The sequence below is a fragment of the Homo sapiens genome, chromosome 4 (genome assembly GCF_000001405.40).
Source record: "Homo sapiens chromosome 4, GRCh38.p14 Primary Assembly".
Taxonomy (NCBI): Eukaryota; Metazoa; Chordata; class Mammalia; order Primates; family Hominidae; genus Homo; species Homo sapiens.
Genome location: NC_000004.12, coordinates 102868622 through 102892919, shown reverse-complemented (window position 1 = coordinate 102892919; position 24298 = coordinate 102868622). Strand labels below are relative to the sequence as shown.

General features: G+C 39.2%; 3 protein-coding genes across 6 annotated transcripts in view, besides 2 other annotated features; 2 read left to right on the top strand and 1 right to left on the bottom strand.

The window, feature by feature from the left end:
• Nucleotides 1–7871, top strand: part of SLC9B1 (solute carrier family 9 member B1) — a 134657-nt gene extending 126786 nt beyond the window's left edge. For 2 of the 3 annotated variants that reach the window (NR_047513.2, NM_001100874.3), the window contains one exon: nucleotides 7592–7871. Coding sequence is in view for 1 of the 3 variants with exons in the window: in NM_001100874.3 (NP_001094344.2) it covers nucleotides 7592–7687 (96 nt within the window). In the remaining 2 variants the exon portion in view is untranslated. Of the gene's footprint in view, nucleotides 1–2246; nucleotides 2340–7591 lie in introns of all 3 variants that reach the window. The other variant, NR_047515.2, reaches the window with a different exon arrangement.
• Nucleotides 113–23928, bottom strand: CISD2 (CDGSH iron sulfur domain 2). The gene is made up of 3 exons (NM_001008388.5): nucleotides 23733–23928; nucleotides 7490–7704; nucleotides 113–5579 (listed from the first exon to the last, which is right to left on the bottom strand). Exons 1-3 carry the CDS (start codon nucleotides 23833–23835, stop codon nucleotides 5490–5492), a joined length of 408 nt encoding a protein of 135 aa, NP_001008389.1. The 5' UTR covers nucleotides 23836–23928; the 3' UTR covers nucleotides 113–5489.
• Nucleotides 23668–23787: a silencer, noted in NCBI's record as "silent region_15603". NCBI's record gives its function as "represses an Ori minimal core promoter by ATAC-STARR-seq in GM12878 lymphoblastoid cells {active_cell/tissue: GM12878}" and the evidence as "EXISTENCE:reporter gene assay evidence [ECO:0000049][PMID:35858748]".
• Nucleotides 23818–24107: a silencer, noted in NCBI's record as "silent region_15602". NCBI's record gives its function as "represses an Ori minimal core promoter by ATAC-STARR-seq in GM12878 lymphoblastoid cells {active_cell/tissue: GM12878}" and the evidence as "EXISTENCE:reporter gene assay evidence [ECO:0000049][PMID:35858748]".
• The window catches only part of UBE2D3 (ubiquitin conjugating enzyme E2 D3), a 74513-nt gene continuing 74239 nt past the window's right edge, over nucleotides 24025–24298 (top strand). For both annotated transcript variants that reach the window (NM_181893.3, NM_181890.3), the window contains exon 1: nucleotides 24025–24205. In NM_181893.3, the coding sequence (NP_871622.1) occupies nucleotides 24176–24205 (30 nt within the window). In that variant the 5' untranslated portion in view covers nucleotides 24025–24175. The remainder of the gene's footprint in view (nucleotides 24206–24298) is intronic.

Below are 24298 nucleotides of genomic sequence, written 5' to 3'. Positions count from 1 at the left end.
GTTTTGAGTTTCTTAATTTGTTGAATGGATGTGATTAATTTATATCTTTAGTGTGATCATGCAGAGAAATTTATGAGGGATAGTAATGGAAAAATTACAGGAAATCTGAAAATTTAATAAACTTGACATTTTTATTTTCTCACTAGTACAGGGTTATCTCTAATTATGAAATGTACTACCCTTTTCTCCTTTTCTGTATTATTTTGGAAAATTACAGCCTTATAATAGAGATCAGAAATGTGTTAACATTATGGCTGATCTATCTGACAACAGTGTTCTAAGAAAACAGTATCACAAATATACTTTCTCACCATAGTTGTTCAAAACAGAAGTTTTGTAAGCGAAGAATCAAGCATTTAAACCAAAGGAAAGTTAGAGTGATGTCATCTCTGGTTGAAAAACATAGTCTTTCTGAACAGATTTTCAATGTCCTTCAAGACCATAACTAATATAAAATTAAACAGTACAATTGCTAATAATATAAGCTGTACACTTTTTATATTAAAGTGATGCTTGCTACAACATGACTTTACTAAATTGGATTTCTGCAAAAGATAAAACACCAGGCATGGTTGCTCATGCCTGCAATCCCAGCACTTTGGGAGTGCTGAGGCAGGGAGGATCACTTGAGTCCAGGACTTCGAGACCAGCCTGGGTAACACAGTGAGACTCTGTCTCTTAGAAAAATAAAAAATTAGCCGGGCATGATGAAGCATGACTGTAGTCTCAGCTACTTGGGAGGCTGAGGTGGGAGGATCGCTTGAGCACAAGAGGCTGAGGCTGCAGTGAGCTACGATCATGCCCCCGCACTCCAGCCTGGGTGACAGGGCCAGACTTTGTCTCAAAATATATGAAAGTAGATAAAATTAGTTTACTTGCTGAACATGATCAAATATAGCAAGTTTCCAGTAAAAGACTATTAGGACAAACTATGTTAACACAACCTCAGATGATGAAGCATAGTTAAAACAAAACAAAACAGCTTTGGGCATATTCTATACTCCAACCTCTGTGGTGCAAAGGGACTATATGGCCAACCGGATGTTGAGGGAGTCACAGAACTGCTGCACATGTGGTTTTTAAACATGATTTTTAATTCCCCCTAAAGTGGAAGAAGTCATCTAACAAAATTTATTATGACTTAAATTGCTACTGCTTTATTTAGTTTTCCTCAAACTTTAACAAAATAAATAATTATGTAGTAAATTATAGTCATTAAGCTTGAAAAATGTTTCAATTGAATGGGAAAACTTCCTGTGATAAAGCCTCCAATCATCGAGTAAGTCAATATATTTTACATATAAATTTTCCAACATGTTAAGCACTAAGCTTTTAACTAAATAGCTAAGGGGAAATTGTTACCACCAAATGCAACACATATCCTGCCTTTTTGAATAACACATACTACTTATCTTGATTCCAATTCATCACTAAACATCACTTGTATAATTTGATCACAGTGATGTCCTCAGAGACAGTTGTATGCAGAATCCTATAAATTGTCTCAAGCTGCTATGCCTTTAATGTTCACCTTAAATTTATTTTTGTTCCCCTGACTTGCTGTCAGCTGTCACATTTTGTAGTTCACCCCTTCTGCAAGACCCTTTTGATACTTGTGATTTGTTAAGAAGCAGAAATCAGATAACCAAACTTGTTAGAATTCAATGTGAAGTAAGAATAAGTAGACTCTGGGTAGCTGCTGCCTCTACCATTAAAAATTTTTTAAAAAGAAGACTTTTTCAATTACCACTTAATTTGAACTTGACTTACCTAGACTACTATTAGTCGATATTAGTTTAACAGAGGGAAAATTGTTAATAAAGTAGATGTAATATGTAAACACATACATCATTTCCTTGTTCTGGATCTATCAATGATTTCATACTTTGACTATATCTAAATTATCTGCTTTTCCCAGCCTTCAAAGTGGTCTTTAATTCACCCCTGCTTTCCATGGGTTAAATTTCCTACAATGCTGAGATATTTATATTGGTTTCCTCCTGTCCTACGAACTTCGTACTGATTTCTGCCACAATAAATTTGATTAGATGAAAAAAAAAAAAGACTTTTTTTTTTTTTAAGATAGGGTTTCACTTCTGTTGCCCAGGCTGGAGTGCAGTGGCACAATCTTGGCTCACTGCAACCTTGGCCTCCTCAACTCAAGAGATTCTTGTGCCTCAGCCTCCCGAGTAACTGGGACTACTGGTGCGCCACTGTGCCCGGCTAATTTTTGCATTTTTCTGTAGAGATGAGATCTCACCACGTTGCCCAAGCTGGTATGGTACTCCTGAGATCAAGTACTCCACCCACCTCAGCCTCCCAAAGTGCTGAGATTACAGGTGTGTCGTCACTGCACCAAGCCAATGAGGCACTCATTTCTGAATAAAGTACAAGCATTAGTAACATCTCCCCTGGTCTCTCCAGATTGGTTATGCTGCCACAACTGAATTCTAAATGGGTTAAGTATTATACAATTACTTAGGCTTCTTTGGTAGGTATCAAATAAAACATCCACCTAAATTCTTAAGAACCTTGTTAAATAGTGGCATTTACAAACTCTCTATACAGATTCTGACAGCACATTTCTATTGGAAGACTATGGAATCACAATGAGGAAGGTAGTACTATATAGATCAGCAGCTGGCTTAATTGGCTTCCTGTAACTTACTTATTAACAAATTAGGTTACAAAATACAAAGTCAACTTAATGAATCATCGTATTTGGCATTGAACTCAAAGCTGAATTGTGTGAATTGTGAGGTGCTTTCCATAATTCAACTTGCTTAATTACCCATATGAATGAATCATTCATACCTCAAGCCTGCTAACACTTTTGGATACCTGATGTTTATGTAATAGTGATGTTCATTTGCTGAGTAAGGCATGAGTAGTTTCCTAGGTAAGCAGAAGCAGTCCTCAAAACAATCATGTGACGCAGTAACAACAGGGCTGTATTTTGAAGGCTCTAGAAACCGAAGACATGTATTTCAAGAGCCAAGTTACTTTTTTTTTTCTTTTACCACTTATCCTCAAGTTCTACAAGTTACTTACACTGCATCAATTCAAATACATTTGGTTATTAGATGTCTATTTTTTAAAGATGGACAAGATAAAATTGTGTAAATTTACAAGAAGTAATGCAAACTGCTAATAATGCTTATTTAAAGGAGTTATTAAAGCAACAGCTTACTACCAACCCTACGCTTCTGAAAAATGTGCACAGGTGGGAAAAGATATGGGCATAGCTCTTAGCATATTTTAACAACTGAAAATGTGGCAGGGAAAAAGTCTTTATTCTGAGAGTACAACCATCTTACTTTTGGGGTATTAAAATTACCTTTTATGAGATAATTCATTTTCAATGTTATTTGACAAAATTCAAAGTTGGTCATTCATTTTAGTCTCCTCATTTTTAGTAAATTTGCCTCCTGTAAAATCTAAGTTATGGGAACCACTAGAACATGTGTGAAAACAAGTTGCTGTGAGATGCAGTGATAGATTTTACAAAAAGAAGAGCATTTCATGAACACAGATCAGGATATCCAAAATTTTGGTGAGGTGGATTTTTTCCAAAGTCTGGTGACCAACTGTGGAAAAATAATTGGTTAATCTGACAGTGAGGCCCCTTAACAGTGTTGAAGAAAATGTATCCGAAAAAGCACCCAGAGTCAAAGAAGTGAGAGCAATGCTGTATTTATCCCCCACTGACATGTGAGGAAAGAACAATTTTGGACATACACCTTGTAAAACTTCTCAAAAACCAGACTACATTTCTAACTCTAAAATACATGCTGCTGGTCATGAAGATGTTACGATCATATAATTGAACCTACTGACATTACATGTAATAAATTAAAAACCCAAGTACCATGCTTAGTGTAGTGTCTGGTACATACAAGTGCCCAATAACAATTAGTTTTATTTCTAGAAGGATTACCTCTGTCTGCCTCTTGTACATTCTTATAAAAAGAAAGCAAAGTGAACTGAATAAACTGTATCTTAAATAGACTAAAGAAAAGCTTTTGTATTTGTCTTTTCTCAACTAAGCAGTTTCCAGAGTGCCTAGCAAGGTCTCAGAAACGCACTCAGTGAAGGGAGTTAAATGGTAACTCTTTTACAACAGAAAGGATTCCCTACAGAGCCCAGCAGAGGCGGAGCACTAGGTTGCCCAGCCTGGCCTTGAACTCCTGGGCTCTTGTACTGCAGCCATCCTCCCACCTCAATCTTCCCAGCAGTTGGGACTACAGGCCTGTGCCATGGCACCTGGCTAAGGATAGCTATTATGAGAGTAGTAATGTAAGATGAAACTAAAAAGATTCATAATAGTAGGATTAAAAAGCACAAAAATTTTAAAGATTCTCCAGTACGTTTATTTCACAAACTTTTTTGTACAGTTGACCCTTACACACGGGTTTGAACTGGGTGGGTACAATTACGCGCATACTTTTTTCAATCAAATGCAGGTGAGGTCACACAGATCAGCATTTGTGCATGGGATGTGAAACTCATGTGTACGGAGGGTCAACTGGAGGGCCAACTTTTCTACATATGGGTTCTGCAAGACTTTCTGTGGGACTTGAGTATGGGCAGATTTTGGTATATGTGTGGCCCTGGAACCAGTCCCTAGCGTATACAAGGGATGACTGTATTTTAATGGTTTATAGTGTTAAAAAGAGAAAAATATCCACATAAACACAATTTTGAACACTGAACTATTTTAATATGAATTAATGTCTTATGTTTATTACCAATTATCTTCAAATTGCAGCAGCCCATGAGTTTGGTTGTAAGTGTTCTTGCCATTCCACCCCAGCTGTCACTGAGTCAGTTTAAAATACACACACACACACACACACACACACACAGACACAAGCCTTTTGTAAAGTAAACAAATCTTTTATACTGTAAATAACTGTTCCTCAATGGAACTTTTTGTATCCAGTTTACTTCTTTTCTAAAGCTGGGATATTCATATTAAATACACAACAATCTCTATAAAGCAAAGAGTCTATCTCTGTGAAAACACAAGTAATTCTTGATGGCAATATTTTTCTTAATTCACCTAACCAAATGCAGTTTGGAAGGCCAAAACGAGAAAAAAACACTTCAGATTATCAAAACCAAAAGAGATATGAAAAAATAACATATTTAACAATGTAGGTGGGAATTTTAAATACAAGATCCTGTTGAAAATATTGATATTCAAAGAAACAAACAGCTTTGGATCCATAGCCACAATTTAGGTTTTCCTAGATTAAAATCAGAAGTGATTTTATTGTTGGAAGATACATTAATTCTTTGAAGTCAGAATAAGAGGCTTGACAATTTAATTTCTAATTAAGTGACTGAATAGACAAAGGATCAAATACAAACAGTAGTGCAGGAAGAAAATAAATTGGAAGAAATAATTGTTCAACCAGTAGTAATAATTAAGACCACCATTTTAAAATTTTCTATACACAAAGAATGAGAAAATATTGTTATTATTATTATACTTCTTTCTTCTTCAGTATTAGTGGACCCACATTATCTCCTGTCAATTCATTGTGTTTATTATGTGAACCATCGCAGGCAGGAAACTAAAAAGAAAAAAGAATTACAAGTGTTATTTTTAAAATATGATTCATTAGGTAGAAACATTTGTGAAATGCTCTCAGAAAGAAAGCATATCACTTGCTAAAAAAAATCAGATCGTTTTCCTGAGTAATAGTTACATTCTACATCCAACTGAACCATATTCAAAATCTAACAATTTAAACAGTTACTTCATTATTTGGTTTAGATTTTAAATAAAAACCTATGAATGAGTCCATATGAGTGATTAAAATAGACAACAGGTTTAAAAGGGAATCGAATAAGTTCTTGGTCATTTGTGGAGCTTAAAATTCGAGCTCACCTATTGCTTAATTTTAAAACAATGGAATTTAATTCAAAATAAATTATAATTTTTTCTTGCTATAAAACTCATGCATACCACACAATTTTTGAAAACAAAAATATATTTTAGGCTGGTGCGGTAGTTTACGCCTGTAATCCCAACACTTTCAGAGGCAGAGGTAGACAAATCACTTGACATCAGGAGTTCAAGACTAGTCTGGCCAACATGGTAAAACGCCATCTCTAACTAAAAATACAAAAGTTAGCTGGGCGTGGTGCATACGCCTGTGTCTCGGGTACTTGGGAGGCTGAGGTGGGAGAATTCCTTGAACCCAGGAGGTGGAGGTTGCAGTGAGCTGAGATCATGCCATCACACTTCAGCCTGAGTGACAGAGCAAGACTCTGTCCCCCGCAAAAATAAATAAAGAATAAATAAAAATAAATTTTAAAAAATTCACTCATAACCCATCCAGATACACATAATAATAATTAACAGTTTGGTATATTTTTTCCTATGCATTTATTGTGTGTATTCTTTTTTTTCTTTTTTTTGTGAGACAGTCTCACCTTGTCGCCCAGGCTGGAGTGCAGTGGCGTGATCTTGGCTCACTGCAACCTCTGCCTCCTGGGTTCAAGTGATTTTCCTGCCTCAGCCTCCTGAGTAGCTGGGACTACAGGTGCATGCCACCACGCCTGGCTAATTTTTTTTGTATTTTTTAGTAGAGACGGGGTTTCACCATGTTGGTCAGGCTGTTCTTGAACCCCTGACCTGGTGATCCACCTGCCTCGGCCTCCCAAAGTGCTGGGATTACAGGCGTGAGCCACCGCGCCTGGCCTGCGTGTATTCGTTTTTTAAACAAAATTGGGATCACACTGTAATATGCTTTCTTACTCATATCAGGATCTCATGTCATTATATATCCTTTAAAAACATGATCATTCCCTTTTTATCAGATATTTAGTTTATAAAAATTTTGCTATTACAAAGGATGCTGTGATGAGCAATACTGTATTAAAAACCTCAAATAATCTATGATCAAGTACAAGAAACAGATTTTGTCAACTACTTATAGTACTTATCACTCCAAACTCCTTCCCACATTAAAAATCATCTATAATTGAGGCTATCATTTACTACCTCATATTATTAAAGCAGTTTACATATATCATCTCACTTCTCAAAGATATGTAATGTGGATGTATCAGGTTAAAACAAACCCTGAAGATTAGAGATTAAAAATTAAGTAACTTGTCCAACCAAACTCATACTGTGACAAGTATATTTGACCACTATTTACTATGACACCAAAGCTTTTTTCCATTAAACCTTAGGTCCTCTCTCAAAGAATGTGTATTTTAAAATACATGTTACTCTACATAAATGCCAAACATTGCGAAGGCATTAGATTTTTATTCTTCTTTGCTGCTCCAACTTTTCTAATGTAGGTAGTATCTATCATGACATGAAAACTTCAATTTAGGAATATGGTCTTTCAATACCAAATATTACAGAAAATTCTCTCATCTTAAAGAACTTCAAAACTGGGGATTTAAGAGGCGAAACAATCCTAGCACTGCAAAATTTTAGTGTACACGTAAACAGACATCTTACCGTTTTAGAACGCCAACACCTACAATAAGCTGCTTTAGTAAGACACAAATCTTCAATGTTTATTTCATTCACTACTTTCGGATTTTCCTTTTGTATTTTAAGATTAATCAAGCTATCCTTCTGTTGTTTCTTCTTCGGGAGGAATGGACGAACTGCAAGGTAGCCAAGAAGTGCGAGTACACCAAGGAAAGGCAATAACCGAAGCCATTCTGAAACTAAACATGTAGATGTGTCAGAATCTGCAGTGCTCTTGGAAAAGAATTCAAAATAGCATGTCTAGTTTCATCCTTGAGCTTATTCTTTGTTACTTTTTACATTAATTCCTTTTTAATGGATCCATAAAACTGTGAATAAATAACACAATAAAGCCAGCTCTACCAAAGACCACCTTACTTTATTTATAATTTGAGACCAGTGAAACTAGAAACCTAACTTTTCAGAAATAGGTTCCATTTCAAATATCCTATCTCATTGTCTACATCAAGTCTATTTGTGTTTGTCTATTTTTATTTTAGGAGTTATGATCACTATAACTATAAACAAAATTCAATGTATATTTTATAAGTTAAGAAAACATTTTATCTCCTTAATACTATGTCAAAATCATACAACAGAATATCTGCAGAATTTTTACCACTGATTCATAATATCAGAGAGAACATGTCCTCTGATGCTTTAAGGTACATTTTTGGTAAATGTTGCTAAAGAACACTGAAATTTTGTGTAAAAGCTACTATTTTAAAGAACAAATTGAAACCTTCTATGTTGAATGTTCTCATTTTAAGATATATCTAATTCCATAAACTTCATTTAAAGCCTTTTGGAGTACCTAGCCTGTCTTAAGGGGACAGGGAATATAAGTGATACAAATGAAACAGTCCCTATGCATGTGGACACAAAAATACCAGGAAACCAAGATAAACATTTCAACATACATTTATCAAATGTCTGCTAGCACCCTGCCTCTGCTGGGCTCTTTTCTGTTCTTATAGAATTACCAGTTAACTTCCTTCACTGAATGCCGAATCTGATACCTTGCTAGGCACTATGTGGAAATAGCTTAGTTGAGAAAAGAGAAAAACAGAAAATAATATGCTAACTCATGCTAATAAACATTAAAGATAAATGAACAGGTTATGCTAAGAGTATAAGGGCACTAGCTCATTTAACACTATGTTAGCTTAAACAACTATATGTGGTAGGTATCATTATTATCCCCATTTTACATGTGAGAAAACTGTAGCCTAAGCAGGTTTAGTCCAGGACACCCTAAATCCAAAGCCTGTTGTCAGTTATCATGAATCAAACCCAATAGATCTAAAATTAAAATCTGTGCCTATCTTGGTAAAACTACTCTCAGGAGATAATAGTACTATTTAACTATTGAAAGAAAGACAATATGAACTCTTCCAAAATGGAATTATTTTTGATATAACATCATGCCAAAGAAATCTAAATGAAAAAACCTATTTATCTACCATTTTCATAGATAGCACCTATAAGAGTGGCTGGCAAAAAAGACACAATAAATGGTAGCTTTTATTCAGAGATTATAGAGATTGGTGAGGAAGTACTAGCAACTCCTTTGAAAAAAATATTTTGCCAAATAACTTGACAATGCTATATGGGCAAAAATCTTCAGGAATATAATCTTGTAGTTACCAGAATAAAACTCTGTAAAAGTATGAACTTTGTCTGCCATGCTGGCTGTTACATTCTCATAACCAAAGTGGAGACACTCCAAATAGGTTCTTTGAGTGAATTAAAGCTCTGGAGATAACACAGAACTGTTTTTGCGGGGAGAAGGAGGCCTAGGTATAAGATCTGTGCTATTCAATATGGGCACCACTAGCCATACTGTTTAGATTTGTACCCAACAGACTTGTAGAAACTGTCTTGAAATAACAGTTTATTACTTATAGTTCCCAAGAGGAGAGGATACACTATGCAATGCAGGGCCACATGAGAGGTACTAGGGTTGATCAGGAGGAAGAAAGAGGAAAGGGAAAAAGCATGGGCACAGGCCTTTACTGTGGTTTCCATGGAAAAGGCAAGGCAGGAAACTGTTCAGGACTGGCTAGCTTGAATAATTTCAGTGGGTTCTGGGCAAAAGTAGTGGTCCCTAGTCGTCTCCTACCTGTCCCTGGGGTGACTTAGGGCAGGAGAAATATTGACTGGAGAAATACTGACTTCATGTGTAAGGGTTAGATAAAGGAGGTGGTTGGGGGCATGGGCTTTGGATTGGTTGGTTTGCATATGAAAGGCATGCTCACAGGCAAGTTATTTAGTATCTCTAGGAATTAAATTGTCTCCACAGCCAACAAGGCTCCTAAGATATTAAAGCATAATAAAATACAGAAAATTGAAAACACGGTTAATATACACATGTGGGCGTGGTGGCTCATGCCTATAATCCCAACACTTTGGGAGGCTGAGGAGGGCAGATCACGAGGTTAGGAGTTCAAGACCAGCCTGGCCAACATGGCGAAACCCCGTCTCTAATAAAAATACAAAAAATTATCCAGGCGTGGTGGCAGGCGCCTGTAATTCCAGCTACCTGGGAGGCTGAGGCAGGAGAATCGCTTGAATTCAGGAGGCAGGGGTTGCAGTGAGCCGAGATCATGCCATTGCACTCCAGCCTGGGTGACAAGAGCAAGACTCTGTCTCAAAAACAAAACAAAACAAAACAAACACATGTGGCTATTCACATGTAAATAAATTAAAATTAAGTAAAATGTAAAATGCTGTTTCTAAGACACACTGGTAACCTTTCAGAGGCTCAATAGCTAGCTACATGTGACTACTGACTACCATATTGAACAGTACAGAGAACATTTCCATTACCACAAAGTTTTACTGGACAATGCTACTATAGATCATTGGCTCTATAAGGTGCCATCTCCAAAGAATGGCAAGGCTACCTTTCCAGCTTCAACTTCCACAAACATGGTCTCTTCATGTACCTGAGGCCAGCGAAAGCTACTGTCTAGTAAGCAGCCTTTTTGAGTTCTTTGCATATGGAGTTCCTTCTGTTTTATCTGACTAATTATCTTAGCTTGCAATTGGCCCCAGCATCCAGTATGTAACTCGAAATAGCAGTCATTAAATGTTTGTTCAATGTAGAATAACATTAAGTATTATTGTACATATTACAATATTTTAGAAGTCATAAGAGCTTAAATTTATCAAAAAGCGAGTGAATGGGAACGCAAAGATGAAAATCTTATTTATTTATTTTTGAGACAGGGTTTCACTTCCATTGCCCAGGCTGGAGTGCAGTGGTGTGCTCTTGGTCACTACCACCTCCACCTCCCGGGCACAAGCTATCCTCCTGCCTCAGCCTCCCAAGTAACTAAAACTGCAGGAGCACACCACAACGTCTGGCTAATTTTTGTATTTTTAGTAGAGATGGGGTTTCACCATGTTGGCCAGGCTGGTCTCAAACTCCTGACCTCAAGTGATCCGCCTGCCTCAGCCCCACGAAGTCCTGGGATTACAGGTGTGAGCCACCATGCCTGGTTGAAAACCTTAATGTTAGACTCTTAAATATAGCATTTCCTATCTTAACCCACAAACCTCAAGAACAAATGGTATTACTACTGTTTTAAAATCCACTTCAGAAAATATTCTTTTGAACACTTAATTCCTTGGTAAAACACTATGCTTAAAAATACAGTGATGAGAGGTACTATTACCTCCTACAACAAAGTAATAACTTACCAAAGTCTTAACATAATCTACTTTTTAAAGATAACCAACTACAATTTAACTACTGAAAAACTTTATACATGAAAGCAATACAGCTTGAAAAGCTCAATTCAAATGACTGTAAGTACATTTATTCAGGCTGTTTTTGTACTGATACATAATAACTGTACATATTTATGGGGTACAAGTGATATTTTGCTACATGCATACATGCATATGATGTGCAATGATCAACTCAGTGTAACTGGGATATTCGTCACCTCATTTATCATTTATTTATATTGAGAACATTCCAAATTTTCTCTCCTATTTTGAAATATACACTAAAATTACTGATAACAATAGTCACCCTATTATGCTATTGAATACTAGAACTTTTTCTATATAACCGTACTATAGTGCCCATTAACCAACCTCTCTTCATTCTCTCCCTCCCTACCCTTCCTGGCCTCTGGTAACTACCATTTGACTATCTCCATGAGATCAACTTTTTTAGTTCCCACATATGAATGAGTACATAGAATATTTCTCTGTCAATTAAGGCTGATTTTATATGAAGAAAGATAAAATACAGAAGAATCAAACAAGAAACTTAAAAAAAATTTTACATGTGCTAGTCTCTATAGATCTGTTTGATATATGTTCAGCTATTACAGATATTTTAGATACTTTGAAAGGAAAATATTACTAACTGTAAATAATGTGCAAAAAAAATTTTTTTTTTTTTTTTTTGAGACAGCGTCTCGCTCTGTTTCCCAGGCTGGAGTGTGTGTCGTGTTAGCTCACTGCAATCTCCACTGCCCGGGTTCAAGCGATTCTCGTGCCTCAGTGACCTCCCGAGTAGCTGGGATTATAGGCGCACGCCACCACACCCAGCTAATTTTTGTATTTTAGTAGAGATGGGGTTTCACCGTGTTGGTCAGGTTGGTCTCAAGCTCCTGACCTCAGGTGATCCACCCACCTTGGCCTCTCAAAGTGCTGGGATTACAGGCGTGAGCCACCGTGCCTGACCAAATAAAATAATTTAAAATATATTTTTTTTTTAATGAGATAGTCTCACTCTGTCACCCAGGCTGATGTGCAGTGGCATGATCTTGGCTCACTGCAACCTCTGCCTCCCAGGTTCAAGTGATTCTTGTGCCTCCGCCACCCAAATAGCTGGGATTATGGACGTGCGCCACCACACCAAGCAAATTTTTGTATAAAATAATGTATTTTATTCAGCATATTATTTATTTTTGTCTTAGGATTATAAAAAATAACATTTATGTATTTATTTGGTAAATGTATCTCTTTTTTGGTATGTAAATACATAGGCTGTAAATGCTTAAAAAATAAGGCTATATTGCATTTTTCACTTAATGGTATGTCAGATTATTATATTATTTCCCCAACTCCTTAATATCAGTTGGAAACATAAATTTTAATGGCTGCATCTACCTATCATGTTCCCCACTCACAATATAAGAGATACAAGGGGGCTGGGCGTGGTGGCTTACGCCTGTAATTCCAGCACTAAGGGAGGCTGAGGTGGGCAGATCACTTGAGGTCAGGAGTTCGTGACCAGCCTGGCCAACATGGTGAAATCCCAACTCTACTAAAAATACAGAAAATTAGCTGGGCATGGTGGCACACGCCTGTAATCCCAGCTACTCAGGAGGCTGAGGCAGGAGAATCACTTAAATCCCGGAAGTGGAGGTGGCAGTGAGGTAAGATCTCACCACTGCACTCCAGCCTGGGAGACAGAGAAGAGACTCTATCTCAAAAAAATAAAAAAAATAAAAAATAAAAGAAAAAGAGAGATACAAGGGCAGGGACCTTATTTGTCTGATCATCTGTGTCCCCAGTGTCTATATAACGTCTGGCTCAATTTATTTAACTTACTTTTGTTTGAAGTGTTTAATTTACAGTTCAGTTTATTGAGCTTTGTGCTTTTTGTTTGTTTGTTTTTGAGATGGAGTCTCGCTCTGTCGCCCAAGCTGGAGTGCAGTGGCATGATCTTGGCTCACTGCAACCTCTGCCTCCCGGGTTCAAGCGATTCTCCTGCCTCAGCCTTCTGAGTCACTAGGATTACAGGTGCCTGCCAAAACGCCCTGCTAATTTTTATATTTTTAGTAGAGATGGGGTTTCACCATGTTGGCCAGGCTGGTCTCAAACTCCCATCTGCCTGCCTCAGCCTCCCAAAGTGCTGAGATTACAGGCATTAGCCACCGCACCTGGCCAAGCTTTGTGTTTGTGAAGCGCTCAGTTTGATGAGTTTTGTAACTATATGGACCTATAAACACCACCTAAGACAAAATACATTTCCATTGCCCCAGAAAGTTTGCTCTTGTAGTACTTTCCCAATCAATCCCCCCCTTCTGATTTTTATTAAGTGCTTACTAAACATTTTCTGAAAGAATAAATCAATTTCTCATTGTTAAACAAATTTTTACTATATAATTATTACTATAAAAATTAAATATTTACTATATAATTATTAAGTATCTACTAATATGGTTTGGCTCTGTGTCCCCATCCAAATCTCATCTCAAATTGTAATCCCATAATCCCCACGTCAAGGGAGGAACCTGGTGGTTGGTGATTAAATCATCAAGGCAATCTCCCCCATGCTGTTCTCCTGATAGTGAGTTCTCATGAGATCTGGTTTTAAAATGGGCTCTTCCTGCTTTGCTCTTCACTCTTCTCTCCTGCCTCGTGAAAAAGGTGCCCCTTCCACCATAATTGTAAGTTTCCTGAGGCCTCCCTAGTCATGCGTAACTGTGAGTCAATTAAACTTATTTCTTTTATAAATTACCCAGTTTGGGGTAGTATTTTTATTTTATGTTTTTATTTCTTTTATAGCAGTGTGAAAGCTAATACAGTAAATTGCTACAACAGAGAGTTGGGTACTGCTATAAAGATACCTGAAAATGTGGAAGCAATTTTGGAACTGGGTAACTGGCAGAGGTTGGAACACTTTGGAGGGCTCAGAAGACAGTAAGATGTGGGAAAGTCTGGAACTTCCTAGAGACTTATTGAATGGTTTTGACCAAAATGCTGACAGTGATATGGACAATAACATCCAGGCTGACGTGGTCTCAGCTGGAGATGAGGAACTTACTGGGAAATGGAGCAAAGGTCACTCTTGCTATGCTTTAGCAAACAGACTGGTGGCATTTTGCCCCTGCCCAAGAGACTGATGAAACTTGAGAGAGAGATGACCTGAAATCGGAACTTAGGTTTAAAAGGGAAGCAGAGCATAAAAGTTTGGAAAATTTGCAGTCTGATGATGCAACAGAAAAGAAAAACCCAGCTGGGTGCTGGTGGCCCATGCCTGTAATCCTAGCACTTTGGGAGGCTGAGGCGGGCAGATCATGAGGTCAAGACATCGAGACCGTCCTGGCCAACATGGTGAAACCCCGTCTCTACTAAAAATACAAAATTAGCTGGGCATGGTGGTGCACACCTGTAGTTCTACTCGGGAGGCTGAGGCAGGAGAATCACTTGAACCCAGGAGGCGGAGGTTGCAGCAAGCTGAGATTGTGTCACTGCACTCCAGCTTGGGTGACAGTGTGAGACTCTGTCCCCCTCCTTCCCCCCGCCCCCCCAAAAAAAAGAAAAACCCATTTTCTGGGGAGAAATTCAAGCTGGCTGCAGAAATTTGCATAAGTAACAAGGAGCCAAATATTAATTGCCAAGACAATGGGGAAAATGTCTCCAGGACATGTCAGAGGTCTTCACAGCAGGCCCTTCCATCACAGGCCCAGAGGCCTAGAAGGAAAAAATGGTTTTGTGGGCCAGGCCCAGGGCTTTGCTGCTTTGTGCAGTATTGGGACTTGATGCCCTGTGTCCCAGCCATGGCTAAAAGGGGCCAACATACAGCTTGAGCCACTGCTTCAGAGGGAGCAAGCCACAAGCCTTGGTGGCTTCCATGTGGTGTTGGGCCTGTGGGTGCATAGAAGTCTAGAATTGAGGTTTGGGAACTTCACCCTAGATTTCAAAGGATGTATGGAAACACCTGGATGTCCAGGCAGAAGTCTACTGCAGGGGTGGAGCCTTCATGGAGAACCTCTGCTAGGGCAGTGCAAAGGGGAAATGTGGGGTTGGAGCCCTCACACAGAGTCCCCACTGTGTCACTGCCTGGCAGAGCCATGAGAAGGCGGCTACCTGCTCCAGACCCCAGAATGGTATATCTAACAACAGCTTGCACCATGCATCTGGAAAAGCCGCAGGCACTCGATGCCAGCCCTTGAAGGAGCTGCCCAAGGCCATGGGAGCCTACCCCTGGCATCAGTGTTCTCCAGATGTGACATGGGGTCAAGGAGAACATTTTGGAGCTTTATGATTTAATGACTGCCCCACTGGATTTCAGACTTGCATGGGCCCTGTGGCCCTTCTGTTTTGGCCAATTTTGCCCATTTGGAATAGGTGTATTTACCCAGTGCCTGTACTGCCATTGTATCTTAAAAGGAACTAACTTATGTTTTATTTTACTGGCTCATAGGTGGAAGGGACTTGCCTTGTTTCAGATGAGACTCTGTACTGTGGACTTTTGAGTTAATGATGAAATGAATTAAGACTCTGGAGGACTGTTGGGAAGGCATGATTGATTTTGAAATGCAAAATGAATGTGAAATTTGGGAGGAGCCAGGGGTGGAATAATATGGCTTGGCTCTGTGTCCCCACCCAAATCTCACCTCTTATAATCCCCATAATTTCCACATGTTGAGGGAGGAAACTGGTGGGAGGTGATTGGATCATGGGAGTGGTTTTCCCCATGCTGTTCGCATGAGATCTGGTTTTATAAGGGGCTCTTGCCCTTTCACTCCTCACTCTTCTCTCTCCAGCCTCCTTGTGAAGAAGGTGTCTGCGCTCCCTTCTACCATGACCGTAAGTTTCCTAAGGCCTACCTAGCCATGCAGAACTGTGAGTCAACTAAACCTCTTTCCTTTATAAATTACCCATTCTTGGGTATTATCTTTTTTTTTTTTCCAGATGGAGTCTTACTCTGTCACCACGCTGGAGTGCAGTGGCATGATCTTGGCTCACTGCAATCTCCACCTCAGGGGTTCAAGTGATTCTCCTGCCTCAGCCTCCTGAGTAGCTGGGATTACAGGTGTGCATCACCAAACCCAGCTAATTTTTTTGTATTTTTAGTACAGATGGGGTTTCACCATGTTGACCAGGATGGTCTCGATCTCCTGACCTCATGATCTGCCCACCTTGGCCTCTCAAAGTACTGGGATTACAGGCATGAGCCACAGCACCTGGCCTCTTGAGTAGTTACCTTTATAGCAGTGTGAAAACAGACTAATACACCTACTATGTAGAGATACTGTGCTAAATGCAAATACAGTAGCTGTCTTATTTATATCTATGTAACCAGTGCTTAGTAATTTGCACATAACAGGACTTCAGTAAACAACTAATTCAGTTTATCTGTGGTATAAATCCAGATTTTCATATACTTGGAACCAGGTTTCTTTTGTCTGTAAAGCAGGAATAACAACTGTAAGCTCATTTGTTCAACAATATTTACTTAGTACCTACCACACTCCACAAACTGCACTATGTGGGGATACAGGCTAATAGATAAGGTCCCTTCTCTCATAGGGTATATATTTCAGAGGACAGAGACTATAAACAAGTGAACAAATAAACAAGATGATCACAGACTATAGTAACTGTTATAAAGGAAATAAAGGATGACATAAGAGAAAAACTAACCTGGGGCAAAGCAGTAGGGTGGCTGCAATTTTAGGTAAGGGGTCAGGGAAGGTTTCTGAAAAAAGAACCTTTAAGCAGAGACCTAACGAATGAGAAGCCAGGAGCTCAAGCACTTGAGCGCAGAATTTTCAAGGCACAAAGAAAAGTAAAGAGTCTTCTAACTTCATAGGATTGCTGGGAGAAACGAATGAAGTAGGAACCCACTCAGTAAAAACTACAGAACACAATTCAAACTATTAATGCATTCTGCCTTAAAACTATATAGTTAGGTAAATATTTGTCTCCTCCCCAACTAAACAAAAAATCCCTAACTCCCTACCCTTTAACAGAGACTTACATAAACCAAGACCTCAGTAAGTTTTAGCCTAATTGAGTTTGTACTCCAATAAACTGGCATTTGAGATAATTCCTACAAGGTCTGTACTTACTTGTCTTTGTTCATGGCTTATGAATAATGACAGTGTAAGTTAAAATACAGGAAGACTACTTAAAATATTTAAGAAAAAAACTTTCAGCACCTTCTAAAATTGTAATACCTCACTCACATGTATCAGGTGGTGGGACAGGTACTGAAGATACAAAAATTATAAAACACACTCCCTGTTAGAAAGGAGCTTGCCATTTAGTATGGAAGACAGACCTATAAAAGACGATCATAATACTGTGTACTATCAGCAATAATACAGAAGCAACGCAGAGGTACAAGTTATTCACTTTTTACTGGCATGAGCAAAAACTGTACAGGTTTTGATACTTAAATAGGTTTCTGAAAGATGAAGAGTACAGAAGTTCATGGGAATATGGGAGGAGGAGCTTCATTCCATGCAGAGGAAGCTGCATAGGCAAAGGTACGGAGATATGACATGCATTAAGTGTCTGGGAAACTAAGCACCATAGTATTGTTAGAATTTAATGAAAGGGAGCTGTAGAACTGAGCAGGTGCCGTATGATGACAAACTCTGATATTCAACAGGTAAGTAAGAATCTAACCTGTGCATAATAGGAAACCACTGAAATATTTGAATATTAGCCTAACTAGGAAATTGTTCACCTATGAAGTCACTCTGGTATCAGATGGAAGATGGATTAGAGGGCCACAGGAATAGCAGAGAGGGCTAGTGGAAGAAGACAAGGCAAGACAACCTGTTGAAAATCCATGGAAATGGTCTGGAAGAAAATAGTTTGAGATAAAACTAAGGTAGTGGCCATTAAAGCAGAGAAGAGAGAACAAATGTGAGCAGTAGTCTCTACTAGGATTCCCTAAACTGCAGAGAACAATGTGTTCGTGCTTGCATTTTCGTTTTCTTTTTTAGCTTAAAACAACAGAAACGTATTCACTCACAGTTCTAGTGGCGAGAAGTCCAAAATCAAGGTGTCAGCATGGTTGATTCTTTCTGGAGGATCTGAGGGAGAAGCTGTGGTGTCCCTTAGCTTGTAGGTCTATCACCCCAATCTCTGCCTCCATCTTCACATGGTGTTCTCCCTTTGTGTGTGCCCAAATTTCCTTTTTAAAATATTTTAATATAATTTCGACTTTTATTTTAGGTTGAGGAGGTAAATGTGCAGGTTTGTCATATGGGTATATTGTGTGATGCTGAGGTTTGGGATATGGCTGATCCTCCCACCTAGGTAGTGAGGATAGTACCCAATAGTCTTCAACCCTTGACCTCCTGCCTCCCTCCCCTTTAGCAGTTCCCAGTGTCTACTGTTGCCATCTTCATGTCCATGAATACACAATGTTTAGCTCCCAGTTGTAAGAATATGTGTTATTTGGTTTTCTGTTTCTGTGTTAATCTCCTTAGGATAATGGTCTCCAGCTGCATCCATATTGCTGCAAAGGATAAGATTTTGTTCATTTTTCTGTTTTGCCAATTTTTTTTTTTTTTTGAAGACAGAGTCTTACTCTGTTGCCCAGGCTGGAGTGCAGTGGCACGATCTCAGCTTACTGTGACCTCTGCCTCCTGGGTTCAAGCGATTCTCCTGCCTTGGCCTCCTGAGTAGCTGAGAATACAAGTGTGCACTACCACACCCGGCTAATTTTTGCATTTTTAGTAGAGACGGGGTTTCACCATGTTGGCCAGGCTAGTTTCGTACTCCCAACCTCAAGTGATCTGCCTGCCTCAGCCTTCCAAAGCGGTGGGATTAAAGGCATGAGCCACACCGTACCTGGCCTGTTTTGCCAATTTTTAAATGTGAGTTGTTCATCTTCTTATTGAGCTCAATACTGAGCAAGGACCTAATATACATATTGACTTTTACATCCCTTTTTTTTTTTTTTTTTTTTTGAGACGGTTTCGCTCTGCTGCCTAGGCTGGAATGTAGTGCCACGACTCAAGCAATTCTCTTGCCTCAGCCTTCCACGTATCCCACTATTAAGATAAATAACAGGACCAAAAAGGAAGAATGAAAGAACCAGCACCATCAGAGAAACAAAATCTAGGCCACTCACAGTGCCTCACACCTATAATTTCAGCACTTTGGGAGGCTGAGGTGAGTGGATAGCTTAAGCTCAGGAGCTCAAGACCAGCCTGGGCAACATGGCAAAACCCCGTCTCTAAAATAAGATACAAAAAAATGAGCCAGGTGTGGTAGCGTGCACCTGTAGTACCAGCTACTCAAGAGGTTGAGGTGGGAGGATGGCTTGAGCTTGTGAAGTCAAGGCTGCAATGAGTGGGTAGAGATCATGCCACCTGCACTCCAGCCTGGGCAACAGAGTGAAACCCTTTCTCACAAAAGAAAACCAAAATCTAGTCAGAAAAGAAAATTTCAAAGCAACTTGAATAGCTGATTTGGTCAGGCTTTGTGTCCCCACTGAAATCTCATCTTGAATTATAATCCCCATAATCTCGTGCCAAGGGAAAGACCAGGTGGAGGTAATTGGATTATGGGTGTGGTATCCCCCATGCTGTTCTGGTGATAGTGAGTGAGTTCTCATGATATCTGATGGTTTTATAAGGGGCTCTTCCTCCTTTGCTCGGCACTACTTCCTGCCATGATGTGAAGAAGGTGCCTTGTTTCCCCTTCGCCTTCCGCCATGATTGTACGTTTCCTAAGGCCTCCCCAGCCATGCTGAACTGTGAGTGGATTAAACCTCTTTCCTTTATAAATTACCCAGTCTTGCGTAGTTCTTTATAGCAGTATGAAAACGGAATAATACGGTAGCTACCAATTTTAGCATAAATTTTCTGAAAGTTTAGACATTGTCAAAATGAAGTATCTTCTTTGGGAAACAAAATTAGGTTTAACCTTTTATTATATATAGTGACACAGGCTAGCTATGACACCTATTCCTTATGACATATAAATACTATTATTAAAACATTTTTTAATAATAGCTAAAAATGACATAAAATGACATAAAAATGACATAGACAAACTCCGATCTTAATGAGGAATTACATTCCACAGAACTAGAACAGAATTTTTCCATTTCAAATTTTCAAACATCTACATATAATATAGCCATATCATCTTATGATACCATAAAAATAATACTGGCAGCTTGGTTGCTAGTTATTTTATAACATATTTTCTCATTTATCATATGTAGCTAAACACAGAAATTATTTCTATTTCTTAACTGTAGAAAAGATAAAATATTTTCAATGCATGAGTTTACTATTACCACTTAAAACCTAAGGTAGGGCTGGGCGCAGTGGCTCACACCTGTAATCCCAGCACTTTGGGCGGCCGAGGCAGACGGATTACCTGAGGTCAGGAGTTCAAGACCAGACTGGCCAACATGGTGAAACTCCGTCTCTACTAAAAATACAAAAAATTAGCCAGGCATGGTGGCACATGCCTGTAGTCCCGGCTACTTAGGAGGCTGAGGCATAAGCATCGCTTGAACCCAGGAGGCAGAGGTTGCAGTGAGCCGACACTGCACTCCAGTGTGGGCAAAAGAGACTCCCTCTCAAAAAACAAAACAAAACAAAAACCTAAGTTAAACATAAATTAGATAATCACAGTAATTTATCTTGAACGCCTCACTCTTGAAAATGTGACATAAACAAAGATAGTTAAGTTGTTTCTGATAGGTGAGAACTGCCTGTATTTAACTAGTATATGGTCATTAAAGATCTCCATGTGGTTTCTAAGAATGCAGAGTCATCATAAGAGAGTCAATAGCTTTAAAAAACAGCTAGATTTAAATAGGGAAGGAAATGTAGGCAATAATAATGTGAACTGTATTGTTTTTTGCTCTAATTTTCATAGAAGAAAATGGAAATATTTTTTGGTCTCCTAGACATTTTAAACAATTGCTAAAAAGTTGTCTTCCAGGTTTTTATTTTAACAAAAGTGTACATTATGGATTCTACAAGTAACTCATTTAAGAAAGCCAAATGTCATTAACTGTTACAATCTATTCAGAATGGGAGACCGAGAGTGGAAAATAGCCACTGAAATTTTTCTTCTATAGTACTCCAAAATAAACCCTGCAATTGTTTTGTCCAATCCAAAAAGGGCTATCTCATGTTTTTCATAAACCAGTTATTACAAGCATGTTCATGTTTCCTAAATAAACCAGCAATAAAATGAGAACTATTAACTATAGCCACACTGTAATGGGACTTAAGTTAAATGTATGTTATTAAAATACTTCTCAGAATGGTCATTATTTCTGAGAATCAGTCTTCATATTAAATATTTAACAACTTTTAAGAGGAAGTTACTATATATTCTTAAGAGAGAAAAGGTTTTGGTTGAGTTTTCTTAATGTCTTTAATAGGAATTAAATATTTGTTGACACTAGGGATCCTCAAGAAAAGAAAGCATACTTCTAAAATCTAGCCATTAAATCTAGTTTCATACTTTCTAATTTTCTTCAATTATACTTGATTTACAGAGAATCGAAACTAATACAAATGCAGCCACCATCTGGAAAAAACATAGGTAATTCATTGGACATTTTCCTTTCTTGACTGTTAAAAATTCCTCAACAGTTAACTTATGCAAATTAGTAAGAAGGTACAAATGTCAAAATGACAAAAGGGTACAAAAGTCACAATATGATCATACCGTTTTGGCCTGGTATTGCTATTTAAGTGAAGACATCCAAAAGGGAGAAATATGACAACTGGTATTTGCTTACTTGCCAATGAACTATTACATAATGAATTTTAAAAAATAGAAACATTTCTAATTTCCAGTTGTAAGGGAATGAATGGTTAGGCCCATTGTGATGTTAAAACTAAAATAAGTATTTAGTTGTTAGGGAAAAAATGAGGATTATATTAAAATATGTAAAGTACTTAAGTAAAAGAAGTGGGGAAAGCCAAAATTTTATGGAATTGCTGCAATTCTGTCAGAGTAAACTGGTAGGATCAAAAGATCTGATGTTTATAAACACTTGATGTGAAACGTTTTTCATTTTATTTTACTTTTGCATTGCTTCTGATGTTTAATGTTCCTTTTTAATGTTTATTATTGTTACCATGCTTTCTATTCAATTGCATGTTTTCTACTAAAACTCTTAATATTTAAAAAATATTAAAATCTCACAATCCACTCAACAGAGCGTCTGTCTGACCATAATTCAATGAATCTCTAGATTTGGAAGAGAATTTGTCATCTAGTTTATCCCTTCTAAATCTATCGACCACCCACCACCAGAGTCTTTTTGTTTGTTTTTTTCATCTTTGAGAGGGGCTATCACTGAAGCACCACATTTGTTTGGGGAAAGCATTCTTTAATTTAAAAAAAAATCTTCCTTAGACTGAAATTCACCTCCCAATAACCTTCACTAATTTGGTTAATTTGTTATCAGTTCTATATTTTAGTCTACACAAATCTTATTTTTCTTCTACCAGACAGCTGTGCGATTGCTGTATTTTAGGTCAGGTACTACAGATCTTTAGAACGTTCCCGGCGAAGCAACCCTATTTACCTCAGAATTATCTTAATTCATGTTTGCACTCCCTGATAACCTAGGACATAGGAGTTCAATACTTGCTGATTCCTTCACCATCCTACTCGGTCTGAGTTCCGTTTAGAAATATCCCCCTTACAATGAAATGCTCATAACTCAACACAATCTCCCAAGTGTTGACTGCATTCTGGAGATTTTCATCCTTTAGATGTGAAATCCTCATGAGTTGTGTGGGTTAAGTGAGGGTCCTTAAGTATAGAACGTTACATATATTCACTAAATTTCATTTTCTAAGATTTCACTCCTCATACCGGCCTTCGAATACTTTCTTGGGTAAGGTATCTTTCTTCCAACTTAAGTTACCGCAGCGGGCCCCGGGACCGTAGAAACGGAGATGACCTCAAATGCCACCTATGATAGGTCAATTCTAACCTGAGGGAATGGAGGTTATCTCCTAATTTCGTTACTAAATAAAACGGTCATATACGTGTTACGTGTAAGTCTATATTTCTCTCCCACACACTCCCACCCACATGCTGAGGGTACAACCCAGCCGGTAGCTGGGGCTGCCTGTTACATGAGGCCTTAGATAACGACGACTTAGCCCGCTTTAAAATAAACAAGTACGCTACAGAGAGCGATGAGCAGGACAGGAGATGAAAGAGACTGGCCTGTTCCCAACTCAGCACCTTCTCTGCAAAAACCTGGTATCTTGCCACGGAATGACACCGGAGACAACTCCGAGGACAAAAGACCCTGGGGCATCAAGCACCCGGAGACTGCCTCACAGGCGTTCCCCAGGCAGCTGCGTCGGCGCGCGCCCACCTTCCTCTGCGCGCGGGGATCACGTGCCAGGCGCCGAGCTCCGTCCCGCCCCTTGGCCCTAGGATTTTTACGCCTCCTTCCCCCGCTTGGCGAACGTGCAAGGATGGGGACTGGCTGATGGGGGAGGATTACCTGTGAGCCTAGCGAACCCGGTAATGCTTTCAGGGACTGGGAGCCGCTTCAGATATGCAGGGAGCTGCACCTTCACGATACGGGCCACGCTCTCCAGCACCATCCTGGCCAGCGGCGTCCACTCCTCTCCCGAGCCCCCTCCGCTCTGGCCAAGCTGCCGCGCCTGCGCCGGGAGCGGAAGCGGCCGGCGGGCACTGGCGGCCTCGGCCTGGGCGGCGGGCGGGGCGGCGGGCCCTGGGAGGAGAGGTGACCTGCCGGGCGCCGATTGGCGGCGGGCGAGTGACGTACGCTCGCGGCGGACTGCCGAGGCGCGGGAACTGGCGGGTAGCGAGGCCCTCCTCGGAATCTCGTGTGAAGGTGGCCCTCCTCTTGGGCCTTTAACGTCTGTAGATGCTGGAGACCAGCAGAAAGGATACTGTGTGCGATGAGATAAGCATGTGAGAATGCTTTCTAACCGAAAGTGCCTTTCAAAAGTGAGTCTCTTGCTGTCTCTACTTCGTCCCCTCTCGCCCCGCCTCTTCCCCTACAGTTTGGGTGCTGTGGCCCTAGGGTTGCATACTCGCCCA